This window comes from Homo sapiens, chromosome 19 (genome assembly GCF_000001405.40).
Source record: "Homo sapiens chromosome 19, GRCh38.p14 Primary Assembly".
Taxonomy (NCBI): domain Eukaryota; kingdom Metazoa; phylum Chordata; class Mammalia; order Primates; family Hominidae; genus Homo; species Homo sapiens.
Window position 1 is genome coordinate 20,794,039 of NC_000019.10, and position 16,351 is coordinate 20,810,389.

General features: G+C 37.6%; 1 protein-coding gene across 2 annotated transcripts in view; it reads left to right on the plus strand.

The window, feature by feature from the left end:
* Positions 1–15,957, plus strand: part of ZNF66 (zinc finger protein 66) — a 33,692-nt gene extending 17,735 nt beyond the window's left edge. For both annotated transcript variants that reach the window (XM_047439350.1, NM_001355197.2), the window contains exon 4: positions 11,789–15,957. In XM_047439350.1, coding sequence (XP_047295306.1) covers positions 11,789–13,284 — 1,496 coding nt within the window. In that variant the 3' untranslated portion in view covers positions 13,285–15,957. The remainder of the gene's footprint in view (positions 1–11,788) is intronic.
* Positions 15,958–16,351: the final 394 nt, after the last annotated feature.

A 16,351-nucleotide genomic window follows, 5' to 3' on the forward strand; every position in this document is an offset into this window, starting at 1 on the left:
TTTGCTGTCACAAAGGGGCATATTGTCTTATGCTTCTAAATTCTCTAAAAATTCTACTTTTCTCTCAGTGAGCTTCCTTCACATTCACAGTGAGAGCCAAAGTCCTCTTCATGACATATAAGAGACAGCACAATCCAGCTGCTTTTTCATTGTTTTGGGGACACACAAATATCTTCCTAATTTTGAGAAACTGAAACTATTTTTTAGTTTTCTTTTTGTATCCGGTCTGAAATTTGTGAGAGTAGTAGTTTCTGTTGCATTTTTTTTTGTTCATTTTTGTGCACAGTCCATTCTATTTTTATTACTATATAGTCTTGAAATATAGTTTGAAATTGTAAGTACGATATTCTGTTTTCTTCTTTTTCCTCAAGATTGCTTTGGCTATTCAAAGTTTATTTTAGTTTCATGTAAATTTTAGAATTGTATTTTCCATTATTGTAAAAAAAAACACTGCAATTTTAATAGGAAGATTATTGAGTCTGTAAATCACTTTGGATAATATGATTCTTTAATAATATTTATTCTTTTAATTCATTGACATAAAATATTTTAAAATTAATTTTTATCTTCTAATTTTTTTATTTTGTTATTGTAAACTTTTTTTTACCTCCTTGGTTAATTTTTTTCTCAGGAATTTATTTAATGCTATATTAAATAAGATTTTTTCTTCCTCATCAGATAGTTTGTTTTAAGTGTAAGAAACCATACATATACTTGTGTGTTTAATTTTATATTTTGCTAATTTACTGAGTGTATTTATTAGTTTAGACAGGTTTTAATGTACTGTTTATGGTTTTTTAAATATAAAATTGTGTGATTTACAACCAGCAACTTTTTTTTTTTTTTTTTTGAGAGGGGCTTTCACTCTTTTTGCCCAGGCTAAAGTGCAATGGTGTGATTTTGACTCACTGCAACCTTTGCCTCCTGGGCTCAAGTGGCTCTCCTGCCTCAGCCTCCTGAGTAGCTGGGATTACAGGTGTTCACCACAACACCCAGCTACTTTTTTGTATTTTTTTGGTAGAGACGGTGTTTCACCATGTTGGCAAGGCTGGTCTCAAACTCCTGACCTCAGATGATCTGCCCGCCTCTGCCTCCCAAAATGTTGGGATTACAGCCATGAGCCACCATGCCTGGCTGGATTTTTTTATTTCTGTGAATAATTCTTCTGCCACATACTTCCATCACTACATTCAAATAGAAGCATTGACAATGGACACAATATAGTTTTGTATTGGTGTCTGAATTTGATGGAGTAAACACCTCTTCAAGTTTTCATAAACTGATTTTAGAAGCATTTCCTTAGGGAACTGTGTGGGTTTCTTTTTTTCTTTTTCTTTTTTTTTTTTGAGATGGAGTTTTGCTCCTGTTGCCCAAGATGGAGTGCAATGGTGCGATCTCATCTCACCACAACCTCCGCCTCTTGGGTTCCAGTGATTCTCCTGCCTCAGCCTCCCAAGTAGCTGCAAATACAGGCATGCGCCACCATGCCTGGGTAATTTTGTATTTTTAGTAGAGAAGGTGTTTCTCCATGTTGGTCAGGCTGGTCTTGAACTCCTGACCTCAGGCGATCCGCCCGCCTCAGCCTCCCAAATTGCTGGAATTACAGGTGTGAGGCACTGTACCCTGCCCAATTGTGTGGGTTTCTATGTAGGCAGAACTGACCATAAACTTGGCTCAGGTAACTGAAACTGAGTCATAGAACCGCTTCAGGGATCCCAGTAAAGTCCAAAGTCTGCAGGCCTGCCTACATTGTTGTAAATGGGTGCCTTCCTCCAGGTCTCTTGAATGTCAGGACCTCTGCCAGACTCTGACTGGGAGGAGTTTGGATTGGTTACAGAGTAAGTTCAGAATTCTCAGTGGGACCAAGTTGGGTGAACCCTATCTGGTCTGTAGCCATGAGTAGGGGTCCTGCAGTTTCCCACCTGACTAAGGGCAGGTTCTCTTCTGAATAGAACACTTCTCAATCTTAAGCTTTAGCAGCATTTCACAACTCCCTCCCTGGATCTCAAATCTCTCTTAGTGGCGTGTATTTTGGAGATGGGGTCTTGCTACATAACCCAGGCTGGTCTCAAAATCCTGGCCTGAAGCAGTTCTCCAACGTTAATGTACCATGTATCTGTCATTACAGGTGTGAGCCATAATGCCTATTTCTCTCATAAAGGCATTTTTGTCAGAGATGGCTGACTTTTTTTTTTGCTGTAAGGGAGTATGAAAATAGGGACTTTTAATCTTTTCATCTTACTGATGTCACTCTCCCTATACATTTTTACTTTCTATTTTCTCTTTCAGATTTGTCTGTAAATTTAGATTCAGATATTTAGGACAATGTGCTAGAATTTGCATGGTATGCCTGAAGTAAATTAGATAACTCATAGGGACCCATATTACTAAAATAGTTACTTATGAATTTAAGTTTGCTGCAGGCAAAAAGGAATTAAAGGATTTTCATCTTTTTTTTAGCCTATATCTAAATAATAACATAGTTTATTTCTCAATATTTGTTTTACATATCAGAGGGTCTAACCCTATTCTGCAAATTGTATAATTTTAAATTTAACAATGTAAGGCTACTCTTTGCTTCTAAAGTTTGATTATAGCTGTTTTATTTTGTGTAAAAATACCATATATTTAAAACATTAAAAGTAACTAGTTTCCTTAAAATGCTAATTTTTAAGTTTCTCATTAGAATCTTCTATTTATAATTATACTGCATATTCTCTGAAATTTTACTGCCACACAGGGCATGCCAATGATTCAAAATACCTGCATTTAGTGAGTACACACTAACAGTTAAATATTTCAGTTACCTAGAAACATTTTTATTTTTTTTGAGATGGAGTCACACTCTGTCACCCAGCCTGCGGTGCAGTGGTGTGATCGTGGCTCACTGCAACTTCCACCTTCCAGGTTCAAGCAATTCTCATGCCTCAGTCTCTCAAGTAGCTGGGGTTACAGGCATGTGTCACCACCCCTGGCAAATTTTTGTATTTTTAGTAGAGACAGGGCTTCACCAAGTTCGCCAGGCTGGTCTTGAACTTATGACCTCAGGTGAGCTGCTTGCCTTGGCCTTCCAAAGTGTTGAGATAACAGTTGTGAGCCACCACACCCGGCCTGACAATTTTTTAATAATGCATCAATGTTGCATGCTAGATTTTTTTTTTTTTTTTTTTTTTTTTTTTTTTTTTTTGAGACGGAGTCTCGCTGTCGCCCAGGCTGGAGTGCAGTGGCGCAATCTCGGCTCACTGCAGGCTCCGCCCCCTGGGGTTCACGCCATTCTCCTGCCTCAGCCTCCCGAGTAGCTGGGACTACAGGCGCCCGCCACCTCGCCCGGCTAATTTTTTGTATTTTTAGTAGAGACGGGGTTTCACCGTGTTAGCCAGGATGGTCTCGATCTCCTGACCTCGTGATCCGCCCGCCTCGGCCTCCCAAAGTGCTGGGATTACAGGCGTGAGCCACCGCGCCCGGCCGATTTTATGAGTAAACATTTATTATTGTTTTGAAGTTTTATATTAGTGTGTTTTTCAGTGTAGGTTTTTTTTTTTTGGGATGGAGTCTTGCTCTGTCACCCAGGCTGGAGTGCATTGGCGTGATCTTGGCTCACTGTAACCTCTTCCTCGAGGGCTCAAGTGATTCTTCTGCCTTGACCTCCTGAGTAGCTGGGACTACTGGCGTGTGCCACCATGCCTGGCTAATTTTTGTATTTTTAGAAGAGATGGGGTTTCACCATATTGGCCAGTCTGGTCTGGAACTGGTGACCTCGTGATTTGCACACCTCAGCCTCCCAAAGTACTGGGATTACAGTTATGATCCACTGCACCTGGCCTCAGTGTAGGTTTCTTACCATTAGTTTATTGGGTGTTTTGGTTTTACTTATGTATTATAATTTTAGACAATTTGCAATTCTGCTTGTATACTTTAAGTCAATTTTAGGTTTAAGAGATAAATTATGCATGTCTGTCACAATCAGGTTACATATGTATGTCTGTTTATAAATATGACACCAATTTTAGTTATGGCTTATCTTATACTCTTTCTTAGCTTATTTTCCATGGTAGTTTTATCTTGTCTAAGTAAGTACTCATGGGGATAGTCTTATTTTACCATGTGTTTAGTAATTAATATGTATTTCCTTTCATGAGAGAAACATTTTTGTGATTTGAAGGTAATTTTCAAAAAAATATGTAATTTTTTTTTCAGTTTTTCTTTAAAAAAATTGTTTTAAAAACACATAATGTAAAATTTACCATCTTAAATCTATTGAAGTGTACATTTCAGGGCCAGGCGTGGTGGTGGCTCTGATCTGTAATCCCAGGATTTTGGGAGGCCAAGACAGGAGGATACCTGGAGCCCAAAAGTTTGAGACCAGCCTGGGCAGCATATGGAGACTCTCCTCTATAAAAAAAATTAATAATAGCCAGGCATGGTGGTGTGCAGCTGTGGTCCCAGCTACTTGGGAGATTGAGGGGGAGTCAAAATTGTGCCACTACACTTTAGCTTAGGTGACACAGTGAGACCCCGTCTCAAAAAAAGAGCTGTTCATTTCAGGCATGTTAATTATATTCACACTGTCATGCAAAAGGCTTCTAGAAACTTTACATCTTGTAAAACTAAAACTCAATGCCCATTAAGTAACAACTGCTCATTTTACACTCTTTCCAGCCCTTGACAGACAAACCTTCTACTTTCTGATTTTATGATTTTGACTACTTAAGATATCTCATATAAGTGGAATCATACAGTATCCATAATTTTGTTACTGGATTAATTCAGGTGGCATAATATTTTCAATGTTCATCTTAAAATGTGACAAGATTATTCTTTTTAAAGTGGAATAATATTCCATTGTATGTGTATGTTATATTTTTTGATGTGTTTATAAATTAAGAGATATATGCTGGTTTAGCCTTTTGGCTTTTGTGAATACTGGTACAAAATACATGTATTTTCAATTATGTCTTCCAGGTCCTGTGTTGCATATTTTGTTTTTTTGTTGTTGTTTTCTTTCTTTCTTTCTTTTTCTTTCTTTCTTTTTTTTTTTTTTGAGATGGAATCTTGCTCTGTTGCCCAGGCTAAAGTGCAGTGGTGCGATCTCAGCTCACTGCAAGCTCTGCCTTCTGGGTTCAAGTGATTCCCCTACCTCAGCCTCCCAAGTAGCTGGGATTACAGGTGCACGTCACATCGCCAAGGTAATTTTTGTGTTTTTAGTAGAAATGGTATTTCACCATGTTGGCCAGGCTCGTCTCAAACTCCTGACCTCAGGTTATCTGCCCACCTCAACCTCCCAAAGTGCTAGGATTACAGGCTTGAGCTACTGCACCTGGCCTGTGTTACATATTTTAGATATAGATTTATAAATGAGGAATATTTATAACATTTTAAAATAATGGCTGTGTCTTTGTTTTCCACCAGCAATCAACATGGATTTTATTTTTACACCTAATGAGTGTGAGGCGATTTTGTTGGTATTGTGTTTTTTGTTTTCATTTCTCTACAAATTAGTAATTTTGTGTGTTTTTTCAAATGCTTTTTCCCATTTGTTTATTTTTATGTCTAAGTATTTTATTTAAAATATATTATTGTATCATTCAAGGAAATAATCCAACTTCATTTTATCAGTGTTGACATTCAGTTTTCAACATCATTTTTTGAAGAGATTATTTCTCTCTATTTTGTATGCATGGCAACTCTGTGGAAGATCATTTGATCATATACAGAACGGTTTATTTCTGAGCTCTCTATTCTGTTCTTTTATCTGTTTGTCTTTGTGTATCACATTGTTTAAATTCCATAGCTTTTAACTGTAGGTTGTATTGACATCTTTGAAAAATAAAATTTGTTGCCCCCTGAGCAAGAATATGTTGAAGAGTGTGTTTCATATTCACATATTTGTGAATCTGCCAGTTTGACTTTTGCTTTTAATTCCTAGTTTCATAAAGTTTTTGTTAGAAAACACACAGTGTATAATTTTAGTGTTTTTAAAGTGATTGGTTGTTGTTTTGAGACAAGATCTTACTGTCACCCAGGCTCCAATGCAGTGGCATAATTGTGGCTCACTGTAGCCTCAGCCTCCTGGGCTCAAGTGATCCTTTCACCTCAGTTTTTTGAGTAGCTAGGACTACAGACATGCACTACCATGTCTGGCTAATTGTTTGCTAGTTTATAGTGTTAGGATCTCACTATTTTGCCCAGGCTGGTCTCAAACTTTTGGCCCCAGTGGATCTCCCAAAGTGTTAGAATTATAGGCAGGAGCCATGGCACCCAGTAGGTATTTTTAAATTTAATAAAGCTTGGGTATGTGTCCTAACAGAATACACCAGATGCAAATAAGAATATTGTGTATTATCTTGGTTTTGATGGGAGAGTATTTTATGTATCTATGAAGCCTATTTGGTCTATAATATGGTTTGGATGTCCTTGTTGTCCAAACCTCATGCTGCAATATAAATCCTCAATGTTGGGTGTGGGACCTGGTGGGACATATTTGGGTCATGAGGGTGAATTTCTCATGAATGGCTTGGTACATACTCTTGGCAACCAAAAAGATTAGACTCTATCAATTCAAATAAGAGCTGGTTCATTAAAAGAACATGGCTTCTTCACCTCACACTTACTCTGTCTCTTACCATATAATATATCCAGTTATTCCTTACCTTCCACCATGATTTTAAGCTTCCTGAAATCCTCATTAGAAGCACATGCTGACACACACTTCTTGTACAGTCTGCTGAGCTGTGAGCCAAATAAACCTTTTTTCTTTATAAATTATGCACTCTCAAGTATTGCTCTATATGCAAAATAATTAATATGGTCTATAATATTGTCACAGTTTTCTCTTTCTTAGTTTTTATCTGAATTTTCTATTTATTAATTGCAAATGGGTTCTTGCTGTCTACAATTATTATGTTGCTATGTATGCCTTGCTTCACTTTTGTCAATATTTGCTTTATATATTTTGGAGCCCTGATGTTATATACACATATACATATAGATAGATAAATATTATAGTTATAGATTCCTGCTAAATCAATTCACTTTACCATAATATAATATCAGTCATTGTCCCATGGTCGTACTTGACTTAAAGCATATTCTGTCTAATATAATTATGACCACCTTACTCAATTGTGGTTACTATTTTCATGGTACATAACTTTTTTTCATTCTGTTACTTTCACCCTATTTGACTCAATGCTAAAATGAGTCTCTTGTAGGGAGCATAGTGTATGCTTTTTAAAAAACCACTCAGGCATTCTATATCTTTTTTTAATATTTTCATTATGCATATATTCATTTATTATTCATTTTATTTTATTTTATTTTTTGAGATGGAGTTTCACTGTTGTTACCCAGGCTGGAGTGCAATGGTGCAATCTCAGCTCACTGCAATCTTCACCTCCTGGGTTCAAGTGATTCTCCTGCCTCAGCCTTCCAAGTAGCTGGGATTACAGGCACATGCCACCACACCTGGCTAATTTTTTGCATTTTTAGTAGAGATGGGGTTTTCCCATGATGGCCAGGCTCATCTTGAACTCCTGACCTCAGGTAACCTGCCCACCTTGGCCTCCCAAACTATTGGGATTACAGGTGTGAGCCACTGCATCCGGCCTCATGTATTTTTGAGATAGGGTCTCACTCTGTCAACCAGGCTGATTTGCATGGCTCACGGCTGCTTGAACCTCCCAAACTCAGATGATCCTCTCATTTCAGCCTCTCAAGTAGCTGGGTTACATGAATGTGCCCTCACACCCAGCTAGCTTTTTTTGTATTTTTCATAGAGACAGAGTTTTGCCATGTTGCCCAGGCTGATCTTGAACTTTTGGGATCAAGTAATCGGCCCACCTTGGCCATCCAAAGTCCTAAGATTACATTTCAAAGATTACATTTCATTTCATTAAGTAGTTTAATGAGAGTCCTGTATTTTTGTATCTACTGAATGATGTGGTGACAGAAATTTGCATTGCTTTTACTATTAGTAAAATTAGTAACAATGCAGTAATTATGCAAAAGCTAATATATGTGCTGCCTTCTGTTTTATTGGTTTACTTTTTCACCTTTATACTCATAACAAATTATTTTAATTCTGTAGCTTTTTGATGTGTTTTGAAATCAGAAATGGTAATGCCTCCAACATTGTTCCATTTTGGTAGATTGTTGGGTACTTTATTGTCTCTTTAGATTCCATATACTTTTGGATTTGCTGTTTTTATTTCTTCAAAAATGCAATGAGACATTTGAAAAACATTGAATTAAATCTGTAGATTAAATTGAGCAGTACAGACATCTTCACAATATTAATTATTTCTTTTTCAGTTTGTTTTTGAGGTGGAGTTAAAATCACTCACCTCGACCTCCCAAAGTGCTGGGATTACAGGTGTGAGTCACTGCACACAGCCCAGTTTTCTGAACAAGTGCATGCTCAAGAGTGTGTTTTCTCATTTCCATATATTTGTAAATTTATCAATTATTTATATTATTGTTTTATACTCTAATTCCATTTTTGTCATAGAAAGTAATCTATAAAATTTCAGTTTTAAAAAATGTGTTAAGGCTTCATTTTTGGCCTAACTTGTGGTCTATATAGGAGAATGCTGTATGAGCTATTGAGAAGGCTGTGTATCCTGATGTTGTTGAGGAGTGTTCTCTATACCTTCATTAGAAATAATTGTTTTTTACTGCCTTCTAGTCCTCTGTTCCCTTATTAATATTCTGTCTTGTTTTATTATTACAGAAAATGAAGTATTGAAATATCCTACTATAATTATATTGCTCTCTGTGTGTATTCAATTTTGTATTTGCTTTATATATTTGAAACTCTAATCTGAGACACACACATGCAAATACATACATGTATAAACAAATTTGTCATAGATTCCCAGTGAAAGAATACATATATTGTTTAAAGCCCTTCTTTGCCTTCTTGAAGTTTTGACTTAAAGTACATTTTATAAAATATGACATTTTCTTACTTAAGATGCAGCTTGTGTAATATTATTTTGAGCTCTTTTGCTCTAATTTGGTTAATATTTACATGAAATTTCTACTTCCATCTTGCCACTTTCAGTCTTTTTTTATCATTAGATCTCAACTGACTCTTGTAAAAAGGCAAGTTGAATCTTGATTTTTAAAATTTTTTAATAAACCTTTTTATTTAAAGTATGTCTCTTGATTTGGAGAGATAATTATATATATTTAAATAGTTTTCTGCAAAAGAAAAACTTATTTTATTGTTTTATTTTATTCTTGTGTCTTTGTCTCTCATTTTCTCTTTCTGTCTTTTTTTTTTATCTTTGTATTGACATGCTTTCAGTTTCTTATTTTCTTTTGTGTATCTGTACAGACATTTTCTAAGTGGTACCTTCTGGGATTACATAAAACCTCTAAAAGATCCAACAATATATTTAAATGTGGTAAAAAATCAACTTCAGTTTCATACAAAAATTTTTCATCATTACATCTGCCTTCTATTTTGTTATTGAGTTTGCCAATTATATTTTTTATGTTTGTATATTCATTAACATGTTTATAATAATTTCTATAGTTTTTATCTTTTAAATTTTAGAGAACAATTAAAAATGTTTTCTGCACCATTATGATAATGTTAAGAAATTCCATTTTTGTGTATGTGCATATCTTTCCCAGAAAGTTACATATTTTCATATGATTATGGGTTGTTTTCTTTCACCATGTTATTTTCAGTGGAGGAAACTCACCATCTTTGATATGTCAGGCATATGCAGTGGCAATATACATTCTCAGGATTTGGTTATTTTGGAAGTGCTTCTTTCTATTTGGTAGTAAAATTGTGGTGATGCTATTATTCTCACTTGAAAGCTTTTTTTAAATTATTATTTTAACTTTAACAATATCACAGTTTCCTTCTCACTTGCAAAAATTTTTTTGATAAATTCACTTGTTATATCATGAGACTATGCTTATAAATGACACATCATTTTTATCTTACAGCTCCCAAAATTCTCTTATCTGTGATTTTTGAAATTTTGCTTATTATGTGTGTTTGTTATAAATATCTTGGTGTGTACATTTTTAAAGAAATTTTCCAATTATGTTTTGTATTTTTATATCCACGATTTTTGTTTTTTGCTATTTAAATGTTTCTGGTTGTTATTCTCATTTTTCTGATCTTCAGTAGTTGCCTGTGTTCCTATTTAACTTACTGAATATTATTCAATTTATTTTATTTTATTTATTTATTTTATTATTATTTTCTGAGACAGAGTCTGTCTCTGTCACCTCAACTGGAGTGCAGTGGTGCAGGCTCACTGCAACCTCCATCTCCCAGGTTCAAGCAATTCTCTTGCCTCAGCCTCCTCAGTAACTGGGATTATAGGTGCTCACAACCACACTTGGCTATTTTTTTATATTTTTAGTAGAGATAAGGTTTCACCATGTTGGCCAGGCTAATCTTGAACCTCTGACCTCAAATGATCCATCCACCTTGGCCTCTCAAAGTGCTGGGATTACAGGTGTGAGCCATCCTGCCCACCCTATTTTATTATATTTTTGAGACAGGCTTCCTCTGTTGTCCAGGCTGTAGTGCAGAGGTACAATCTTCACTCACTGATGGGGCCATGTTGCTCTAATATTTTGTATTCATTGTAATCTTTGATTGAGCTTTGGACATTAACAAAAAGCTACCTGTTAGAATCTTTAAGATATAACTTTATTCTGGCATAGTCTGAAATCAGTTGTCATGGCTAGAGATTTTGGGAATTTCTCAAACATGTTTTTAGGATGTGTCTTGTCTAAAATTTTGTGTTTATTGTTTAGTTAAATTGGCTTATTCATATTTCTTCTTAATAATCAGTAATCACTTGCTAGACTTATTCCCTGTTTGGGGTAGGGCAGTATCTCTGCTTCTGTGACATTTATGTTTAGACTCAGCAGACTCAAACTGTTAATCCAACTTATATCGTCATTTCCTTCAGCATTTTATGTCATGGGAGACATTTACCAGTGTCTAGAAAAGCCCCTAAAAGCCAAAAATTAAGATGTATGTGCCAATATTTTTCCTGCTTTTTAAAAGAAACCAGGATTTGGCAATTTACATTTGTGTGTGTGTGTGTGTGTGAGAGAGAGAGAGAGAGAGAGAGAGTCTCGCCCTGTTACCTATGCTGTAGTTCAGAGGCATGATCTTGGTCACTACAATATCTGCCATTACAGAGTCTCACTCTGTCACCCAGGCTGGAGTGCAGTGGTATGATGTCAGCTTACTGCAACCTCTGCCTCCTGGGTTCAAGCAATTCTCTGCCTCAGCCTCCTGAGTAGCTGAGATTACAAGTTCCTGCACCATGCCTGTCTAGTTTTTTGTGTTTTTAGTAGAGATGGGTTCTCACCATCTTGGCCAGGCTGCCTTTGAACTCCTGACCTCATGATCAACCCATGTCAGCCTCCCAAAGTGCTGAGATTACTGGTGTGAGCCATCACACCTGACCAGCAATTTACTTTTAAAGGCACAATGTTATACTGGAGAGCAGGAAGAGCTCTGTTGGGTATAAGTAACAGACTTTTTTTTTTTCTTCTATGTGGCTCTTTGCATTGTACTCACCTTGGGCCCTTCATACACTTAACTCATTTATAAATTTTTTACAAATGTATTTTGGGCAGTATGTTTTTTTTACATTTATATGTCCAGGAAGAAATTACAGCTTGTGATATTTTGCTACATCATCTTGTTTATGTAGTTTGTATAATTTTATAGGTTAGATTTGTAAAGTATATTTATCTGAGTCTAGCAAGTGAAGTAGTGTGTTTTTATGGTTTCTTTCAGTTTTGTGTTCTCATTTTAACCAAGACCTTTGGCCAGAGCAGAGCATAAAAGATTCTTTCCAAAAACTGATACTGAGAAGGCATAAAAAATGTGGACATGATAATTTGCAGTTAAAAAAAGGCTGTGAAAGTGTGGATAAGTGTAAAGTGCACAAAAGAGGTTATAATGGACTTAACCAATGTTTGACAACTACCCAAAGCAAAATGTTTCAATGTGATAAACATGGGAAAGTCTTTCATCAATTTTCAAATACAAACAGACATAAGATAAGACATACTGGAAAAAACCCTTGCAAATTTACAGAATGTGGCAAAGCTTTTAACCGGTCCTCAACCTTTACTACACATAAGAAAATTCATACTGGAGAGAAACCCTATAAATGTATAGAATGTGGCAAAGCCTTCAACCGGTCCTCACACCTTACTACACATAAGATAATTCATACTGGAGAGAAACGGTACAAATGTGAAGACTGTGGCAAAGCCTTTAACCGCTCCTCTAACCTTACTACACATAAGAAAATTCATACTGGAGAGAAACCCTACAAATGTGAAGAATGTGGCAAGGCCTTTAAGCGCTCCTCTATCCTTACTACACATAAGAGAATTCATACTGGAGAGAAACCCTACAAATGTGAAGAATGTGGCAAAGTTTTTAAGTACCTTTCTTCCCTTTCTACACATAAGATAATTCATACTGGAGAGAAACCCTACAAATGTGAAGAATGTGGTAAAGCCTTCAACTGGTCCTCACACCTTACTACACATAAGAGAATTCATACTGGAGAGAAACCCTACAAATGTGAAGAATGTGGCAAAGGCTTTAAGTACTCCTCTACCCTTACTAAACATAAAATAATCCATACTGGAGAGAAACCCTACAAATGTGAAGAATGTGGTGAAGCCTTTAAGTACTCCTGTTCCCTTACTGCACATAAGATAATTCATACTGGAAAGAAACCTTACAAATGTGAAGAATGTGGCAAAGTGTTTAAGCACTCCTCTCCCCTTTCTAAACATAAGAGAATTCATACTGGAGAGAAACCCTACAAATGTGAAGAATGTGGCAAAGCCTTCAGTCGGTCCTCTATTCTTACTACACATAAGATAATTCACACTGGAGAGAAACCCTACGAATGTGAAGACTGTGGCAAAGCCTTTAACCGCTCCTCTAACCTTACTAAACACAAGAAAATTCATACTGGAGAGAAGCCTTACAAATGTGAAGAATGTGGCAAGGCCTTTAAGTGCTCCTCTATTCTTACTACACATAAGAGAATTCATACTGCAGATAAACCCTACAAATGTGAAGAATGTGGCAAAGACTTTAAGTACTCCTCTACCCTTACTAGACATAAGAAAATTCATACTGGAGGGAAACCACACAAGTGCAATAAATGTGGCAAAGCCTTTATTTCATCCTCAAACCTTAGTAGACATGAGATAATTCATATGGGAGGGAATCCCTACAAATGTGAAAATGTGGCAAAGCCTTAGACACTCCTCTACCCTTACTAGACATAAGATAATTCATACTGGAGAGAAACCCTATGAGTTTGATGAATGTGGGAAAGACTTTAACCAGCTATCAACTTTTACTAAATATGAGAATTTATGGAACACAAACACTACAAATATAAAGAATGTGACAAAGCTTTTAGGAAGTTCTCAACCCTTATTACACATAATTCATACTGGATAGAAACCCTACACCTGTGAAGAATGTGGCATAGCCTATAACAATTTTCAATCAATTCTTTTTTTTTTTTTTTGAGATGAAGTTTCATGCTTGTCACCCAAGCTGGAATACAATGTGATGATCTCGGATCACTGAAACCTCTGCCTCCCGGGTTCAAGCCATTTTCCTGCCTCAGCTTGTCTAGTAGATGAGATTATGGGGGGTGGAGCCAAGATGGCTGAATAGGTACAGCTCCTGTCTACAGCTCCCAGCCTGAGCGACGCAGAAGATGGGTGATTTCTGCATTTCCGTCTGATGTACCAGGTTCATCTCACTAGGGAGTGCCAGACAGTGGCTGCAGGACAGTGGGTGCAGTGCACTGTGCATGAGCTGAAGCAGGGCGAGGCATTGCCTCACTCACGAAGCGCAAGGAGTCAGGGAGTTCCCTTTCCTAGTCAAAGAAAGGGGTGACAGATGGCACCTGGAAAATTGGGTTACTCCCACCCTAATACTGCGCAATTCCAATGGGCTTAAAAAATGGCACACCAGATTATATCCTGCAGCTGGCTCAGAGGGTCCTATGCCCATGGAGTCTCACTGATTGCTAGCACAGCAGTCTGAGATCAAACTGCAAGGCAGCAGCGAGGCTGGGGGAGGAGCGCCTGCCATTGCCCAGGCTTGCTTAGGTAAAGCAGCTGGGAAGCTAGAACTGGGTGGAGCCCACCACAGCTCAAGGAGGCCTGCCTGCCTCTGTAGGCTCCACCTCTGGGGTCAGGGCACAGACAAAAAGACAGCAGTAACCTCTGCAGACTTAAACGTCCCTGTCTGACAGCTTTGAAGAGAGTAGTGGTTCTCCCAGCACGCAGCTGGAGATCTGAGAACGGGCAGACTGCCTCCTCAAGTGGGTCTCTGACCCCCGAGCAGCCTAACTGGGAGGCACACCCCAGTAGGGGCAGACTGACACTTCACACGGCTGGGTACTCCTCATATAAAACTTCCAGAGGACCGATCAGGCAGCAGCATTTGTGGTTCATGAAAATCCGCTGTTCTACAGCCACTGATGCTGATACCCAGGCAAACAGCGTCTGGAGTGGACCTCTAGCAAACTCCAACAGACCTGCAGCTGAGGGTCCTGTCTGTTAGAAGGAAAACTAACAAACAGAAAGGACATCCACACCAAAAACCCATCTGTACATCACCATCATCAAAGACCAAAAGTAGATAAAACCACAAAGATGGGGAAAAAACAGAGCAGAAAAACTGGAAAGTCTAAAAAGCAGAGCACCTCTCCTCCTCCAAAGGAACACAGTTCCCCACCAGCAACAGAACAAAGCTGGATGGAGAATGACTTTGATGAGTTGAGAGAAGAAGGCTTCAGACGATCAAACTACTCCGAGCTACAGGAGGAAATTCAAACCAAAGGCAAAGAAGTTAAAAAATTAGACGAATGTATAACTAGAATAACCAATGCAGAGAAATGCTTAAAGGAGCTGATGGAGCTGAAAGCCAAGGATCAAGAACTACGTGAAGAATGCAGAAGCCTCAGGAGCCAATGCGATCAACTGGAAGAAAGGGTATCAGTGATGGAAGATGAAATGAATGAAATGAAGTGAGAAGGGAAGTTTAGAGAAAAAAAATTAAAAAGAAACAAAGTCTCCAAGAAATATGGGACTATGTGAAAAGACCAAATCTACCTCTGATTGGTGTACCTGAAAGTGAGGGGGAGAATGGAACCAACTTGGAAAACACTCTGCAGGATATTATCCAGGAGAACTTCCCCAATCTAGCAAGGCAGGCCAACATTCAGATTCAGGAAATACAGAGAACGCCACAAAGATACTCCTTGAGAAGAGCAACTCCAAGACACATAATTGTCAGATTCACCAAAGTTGAAATGAAGGAAAAAATGTTAAGGGCAGCCAGAGAGAAAGGTCGGGTTACCCACAAAGGGAAGCCCATCAGACTCACAGCTGACCTCTTGGCAGAAACTCTATAAGCCAGAAGAGAGTGGGGGCCAATATTCAACATTCTTAAAGAAAAGAATTTTCAACCCAGAATTTCATATCCAGCCAAACTAAGCTTCATAAGTGAAGGAGAAATAAAATACTTTACAGACAAGCAAATGCTGAGAGATTTTGTCACCACCAGGCCTGCCCTAAAAGAGCTCCTGAAGGAAGCACTAAACATGGAAAGGAACAACTGATACCAGCCGCTGCAAAATCATGCCAAAATGTAAAGACCATCGAGACTAGGAAGAAACTGCATGAACTAACGAGCAAAATAACCAGCTAACATCATAATGACAGCATCAAATTCTCACATAACAATATTAGCTTTAAATGTAAATGGGCTAAATGCTCCAATTAAAAGACACAGACAGGCAAATTGGATAAATAGTCAAGACCCATCAGGGTGCTGTATTCAGGAAACCCATCTCACGTGCAGAGACACACATAGGCTCAAAATAAAAGGATGGAGGAAGATCTACGAAGCAAATGGAAAACAAACAAAAAAAGAGGCAGGGGTTGCAATCCTAGTCTCTGATAAAACAGAATTTAAACCAACAAAGATCAAAAGAGACAAGGCCATTATATAATGGTAAATGGATCAATTCAACAAGAAGAGATAACTATCCTAAATATATATGCACCCAATACAGGAGCACCCAGATTCATAAAGCAAGTCCTGAGTGACTTACAAAGAGACTTACACTCCCACACAATAATAATGGGAGACTTAAACACCCCACTGTCAACATTAGATCAATGAGACAGAAAGTTAACAAGGATATCCAGGAATTGAACACAGCTCTGCACCAAGCGGACCTAATAGACATCTACAGAACTCTCCACCCCAAATTAACAGAATATACATTTTTTTCAGCAC